This window comes from Homo sapiens, chromosome 11 (assembly GCF_000001405.40).
Source record: "Homo sapiens chromosome 11, GRCh38.p14 Primary Assembly".
Lineage (NCBI taxonomy): Eukaryota > Metazoa > Chordata > Mammalia > Primates > Hominidae > Homo > Homo sapiens.
In genome coordinates this window covers 91,871,320-91,877,319 of record NC_000011.10, presented here as the reverse complement: position 1 = coordinate 91,877,319, position 6,000 = coordinate 91,871,320, and the positions used below count along the sequence as shown (strand labels likewise).

General features: G+C 40.8%; 1 long non-coding RNA gene across 5 annotated transcripts in view; it reads right to left on the bottom strand.

Moving 5' to 3' along the window:
- Positions 1 to 4,833: 4,833 nt before the first annotated feature.
- LINC02756 (long intergenic non-protein coding RNA 2756) overlaps positions 4,834 to 6,000 on the bottom strand; it is a 78,165-nt gene continuing 76,998 nt past the window's right edge. For all 5 annotated transcript variants that reach the window (NR_187311.1, NR_187309.1, NR_187308.1 and 2 more), the window contains one exon: positions 4,834 to 5,466. This is a non-coding gene — a long non-coding RNA (long intergenic non-protein coding RNA 2756). The remainder of the gene's footprint in view (positions 5,467 to 6,000) is intronic.

The window sequence follows — 6,000 nt, the reverse complement described above, 5'->3', positions numbered from 1 at the left end:
CAGTAAGACTTTGGAATATTTTGCCTGATGAGAGTGTCTTTATATACCTAAAGCCTTGAGATATGCCAGATAGTCTATGCTAACAATGTGATTTGTGGTGGCTGCCGTGGACCATGCTGTATCAGTTGCACACCTGGAGGGGCTGGAGACTAAGTAACTAAGTAGTCAGCCATGCAGATGCTCCATGCCTACCAGACTGACTCCCAATAAAAACCATGGACATGTAGGCTTGGGTGGGCTTCTCTGGCTGGCCATACTCTATACCTGTTGTCCCTCATTATTGCTGAGAAAATTAAGTGCTGTTGGTAGGAGTCCATTGGGAGTATACAACTGGAAGCTTGAATGTAGTCTCTACTGGACTGTGCCCCATGCACTTTTTACCTTTGTTGATTTTATTAGGTAACACTTTGTAATAAACTGAAATCATGAGTATGTCAACGAAAAGAGTCAAACTCTGTAAAATATTTGAAGAGATTTATTCTGAGCCAAATATGAGCAACCATGGCCGATGACACAGCCCTCAGGAGGTCCTGAGAACATGTGCCCAAGGTGGTTGGGATGCAGCTTGGTTTTAGGGAAGCATGAGACATCAATATATTGAGAAATATATTGTTTTGGACCAGAAAGGTGAGACAATTCTAAGCAGAGGAGCTTCCAGGCTGTAGGTAAATTTAAACGTTTTCTGGTTTACAATTTATTGAGTTTGTCTAAAGGCCTGGAATTAAGAGAAGGGAAATGTTCAAGTTAAGATAAAAGATTGTGGAAACCAAGGTTCTTTTGAAGTCTCATAATGGCTGCCCTTAGAGACATTAGATGACAGATGTTTCCTATTCAGACTTTAAAAGGTACTAGACTTTTAGTTAATCTCTTCAGGATTGGGAAGGCCTGAAAGAAAAAGATCTAGCTATTTAAATAGAGATTCTTTACAGATGCACATTTGCTCCCACAAAGGATGGCTTTGCAGGACCATTTCAAACTATGACAAAGAAACATGTTTTGGGGTAAAATATTTTGATTTTCTTCTTTGTCATGTTATGTTATGCCAGAGTCAGATTGGAAAATAAGTCATAATATAAAGATTTCAATAAAACCCATCTGATGAGAATTTATGGTTTGTAGGGCGTGACTCCCCAGACCCCTGAGATAGGAATTTGGGCAACATAAAAAAGTCAGAGCTTAGCAAATTTCTGAGTTACGTGAGTCCTTTTTGAAAACAAGAAAACCTGAGGGTGATTGGGTATGGCATGACTTTCACATCTTGCTCAATATACCAAACTTTTCATTCATATATAATGGTTTCCTTTTAGGCATGCTTGTTCTGGGCTTTCCTATGCCCAAGTATTTGTTTATCCTGTCTTTTCTCCATAGAAAGAAACAGTTGAATGAATGAAGGCAAAAGAATCACAAAATGGCTTATTTCAAATCCTCAGCTGCTCTACATACTTCGACTTTTGAAATATTATTTGTAATATTTTTGTAGAGATGGGAATCTCGCTACGTTCCCCAGGTTGCTCTCAAACTCCTGGTCTCAAGCAATCCTCCTGCTTCGGCCTCCCAAAATGTTGGGAATGTAGGTGTGAGCCACTGTGCCTGGCCTGAATTATTATTAAGATATACTCTCTTATGGACTTAATGTTCAGAGATCAGTTTAAATATTAATATAAGGTGTCCTGGCCATGCTCCCAAACCTCCAGCAACTTCTCTACAACTCTTTGAATCTAAAATATTTTCCTGATTTTATTTTTGTACAATTTATCACCTGAATCAGTTGTTTGTAACTTCCAGTTGTTTTGCCTTTCAGATTGGCAAACAGCATACTTCTGACCCCATGAGGAAGTTTTTCATCCTTATTTCAGATCCACACACATAACAACTGTTTCTAAATGCTAGAAGGTTGAGACAATTTGAAGAAGAGGGCTAAAGTCTCAGACCTAGCAACCTGTATGTCTATACAAATCTGAGGCCTGCATTTGTTATTCCTCTGGGCAACAAAATACACGCATACATCTCTGTATAGATACTTTCTGGTGAAGAGAATCTTAAGTATTCCCTATACAACTATGAATAATGGAGACTGAAAATGTTTATGCTTTATTAAAATGTATTTTCATAGGAAAGATGTATAATCTTCTCTTACAGGAAATCCCAATTGTTACAAACAAGATATAATAACAACAGATCAAATGCGAACGAGTAAATAATTTACATTTCTAAGTAGCAGAGCCTGGAAATATTCAGGTTTACATTAGAAATCCTTCAAGATCTCACATACGGAAACTGCATAAATTACCAGTGGCTTTGTAGAAGCGGATGCATGATGCCATGACAGCATTAAAGACAAAAGAGGAGTAAGTTGGCCTCTACTGCTGAGGTCTGGGTAGAACAGGAGTATTCTCCTGTGGGCACCTGCACTTTAGTTAATGTTGCAAGCAGCTTTCCATTGTTGTAGGCCAGCTTTTGTCTATACAGAGTAATCAGGGATCAGGTGAAAACTGGAAGCCATCAGGTGAAAATGCTTCTGGTTATAAATGACAATGCAGGCCGGGCGCAGTGGCTCACGCCTGTAATCCCAGCACTTTGGGAGGCTGAAGCGGCCAGATCACGAGGTCAGGAGATCGAGACCATCCTGGCTAACACGGTAAAACCCCATCTCTACTACAAAAAATACAAAAAAACTAGCCAGGCATGGAGGGCGCCTGTGGTCCCAGCTACTTGGGAGGCTGAGGCAGAATGGTGTGAACCTGGGAGGCAGAGCTTGCAGTGAGCCGAGATCGTGCCACTGCACTCCAGCCTGGGTGACAGAGCAAGACTCCATCTCAAAAAAAAAAAAAGGGCAATGTAAATCTCAGAGGCCTAACCTTGGAATTTAGAATAAGAAGTTTCTTAATATTCTCTCCCATGGAGTGCTATTTCTATGATATCAACTCTCCTTGCTAACTTACATTACCTGGAAAGAAGAGTTTTTCTTTTTTTTTTCTTTACAAAAATCCCATTTCTTTCCTCAACACTTGCCTAAAAGTTTGAAACCTGTGTGGTAGTTTTGGCTCCAGGAGTCAAGAGGTCTATTTTGGAGACTGAGTGCTGCCATCCAGATGGTAGATGGTACATCACGAGCTGGATGTGGCCTTAGGCAAGTAATTAAAATATTGAACCTCAGTGTCCTCATCAATAAAAGGGGGATAATAACTGCCCTGCCTGCTTCACAGAGATATTGTGAAAATCAGCTAGATGCATGAATATGAAATGCTCTGACCCTAAGCTACATAGAAACATAAGGTTTATCTTTTCTATTCTTTTATTCTTTTAAAAACCTCACCAAATATCTTCATCACCCGGTAAAAACAGCAGTGTATTCTTGAGCTACAATATGAAGATGCTTTTAATAAATTTGAGCCAGCTCTGCCCGTCTGCTGACCTACTATGCTTGTGCTGTTTGCAGACAGGAACTGTGCTTTCTTGGCAAAACCAGAGGTGTCCAGCCAAGACTGGCCTGCCTGAGGAAGGCAGAGAAGATCTCTCAGAGGAATTCCAGTTCACAGGATTCAAATAGCATTTAGCCTAGAGCCCTGAAAGTGGTTCCTCTTAGAGAGCATTTTGCTTTCATGGGCTTGACTCAACTATTGTGTTTTTCTATTTTTATATTCTTCTTCCAAATAACATTAATTTTGACAGACCAAAGCTGGAAAGAAATAACAGCTATGAGACCAAAGAGAAGACAATTTTTTTCTGATTGGAGGTAAAGTATATGTATGAGGTAATACAAAAAGGAAAAGACTTAGGACTTTCCTCAAGAAGTTAATGGTCTAGTTTTGAAAGAAATGTGCACCTAAACAAGAGGTGAAGTTAGGGGAAGAGGTAGGCAGAAGAAACACAAAGCAGGCTGTTGTATGGTGCTGGGGGAGAGACACTGGAAAGGCTTATGGACAAAGAAGACTGAACAAAGGAATACTGAAGATTATTCCAGAATGTCTAATATAAATGCAAAAGTCCAGAATTCCTCTATTCCTCTAGGGGGAAATTTCTACTCTATAGAAAACTTGGTGAAGTAAAGGCAATGGTTAAAAAAAAAAAAAAAAAAAGAAGAGAGAGAGACCTGAGTTTCTCTCTTGAATTGTGGAGAGGAAGCAAACAGACAAGGGCTTTCTAAAAACAGACTCCCTGGACGGGCACAGATAGAGACAGTGAGGGATGCGGGGCGGTCTCATTCCTGGGACCACTGCTAACAGTAAGCTTTGTTGTCTTGTTTTTATAAAGAACTGTTTCTGCTTTCTTATACAAATACCTCTTTTGATCACCTTGAGCTACACATGACTTTATCACTGAGAGCATCATGCGTGTATGAAGGTAAAGTGCATGTGTGTGTGCGTGCATATACATGTGCATGCTTAGGGTGGCACAGGAAGAGGTGGTTATTAAAAAATTCCATTTGCAAAACAATGTGCTATTCAGTATCAACAAATACCAAGCATAAATTGTGCACTAGATGTAGCAATAGGGTCTAGGGTACAGTAATGTTCAATTCAGATATGATCTGTATCTCCATTGAGTTTATAATCTAGATTATAGGAGGGGTAAATTCTAGGAGATATGGCTTTTTGGGGGCTATTTTATTCTTTTCATAGCATATTGGAAATTGTCTGGTGGCTAAGCTAAAATTACATTTTCATAAAAAATAATCCCCTTTCTTTGCAATGAGATAGAGCATTAAGAATTTAGGTGAAGTCATAAACGTGATCAGCACAGCAAGCTGCACCAAGGCGCATAGTGATTGAGGCCACAGGGAAAGCTTAAAATGCCATTGATTTATTGTGCACACAGGCATCCCAAGCCTCTGAAATGATAAGAAAGCAAAGTGGAGGCAGGCTGTAAGATGATGAGGCAAATCACATTCCATGGGAAACCAGGAGCTCCTCAGAGACTGTGATCTGAACTTCAACAGCTGCTTAGCGTTAGGGAGTTTGGTGAAATGTGGATTTGGATAAGGATGGGAATACAGGGGAGAGGGATAAGGGCCCAGAGAGACTCGTGAAAACTTTCTCCCACCAGCGGTTGCATGGAAGTCTGACATAGTAGATTTTCCAGCTCTGTGGTCAGGTGAGGTGGGTGTCTCTTGGTCAAATTGTCCCTTTATAGCATGGAGGTATGTGTTATCTAGGCTGGAGGGGAGCAGGTGCTTGGCTGATTTTATGTGTAATCACAGAGATGGAGAGAGAAAACTAAAACAAAATTCAGGTACCAGGGGGCCTTCCATTTAATACTCCCAGAGGGATTCAGGCACCATGGGCCCAGGGCCATGACAGTTAGAGCTGTGAGTTTTATAACTTCCTGTGTTAGTCATCTTGTGTTGTCCCCTTTACATTTCCTTCTAGTCATTGGCAATAAAACTCTTATAATGAAGAAGTGTATTTTTCTTCAGAGTCAACAGGATATTAAATCACCTCCGCAGCCATGGTTTTTTCCTCCTCCCTGTTGTGGGGGGAGAAAGAAATGAGAGAGTAGTGACTACTTTGAGAAGATGGGAAATTGGGTTGTATTCTCAGGTTTTTTGCATAGAAGAATTTGAACTGGGCACTGTCTCTGAGCTAAGCCTGTGTGAAAACCCTGAAGCTAGTCTTGCACTTGATTCCAAATGACATTTTCTTTTTTCTGTAATACTTTTGCATGCTTGTATACTTTTCATTTTCCATTTGCCTGTCCCTCCCAACTCACCCAGCTTCCTCCTCTGCTTTTCTCTGTCCTGTCCTATACGCTGAGTGGGCTGACACCTCAGACGATCATACCTCCTTTGCTGCCTGGATTCCAGTGAGGCTTAGCTTATGGAAGGCAGTCGTAAAAAATTGGAGGGTGGGACAAGGAAGAAGTATTCACTCCCCACTTCTTTTCTATGCTGGACACATTCTGTGGCAGAGCATGTCCCTCTGGGAATACGTCTCCTGCCGGGCAGCCCTTCTCCAAGATTCCCATGTTCACTGGGCTTTGTTAGTACTATTTCCTTGCCTT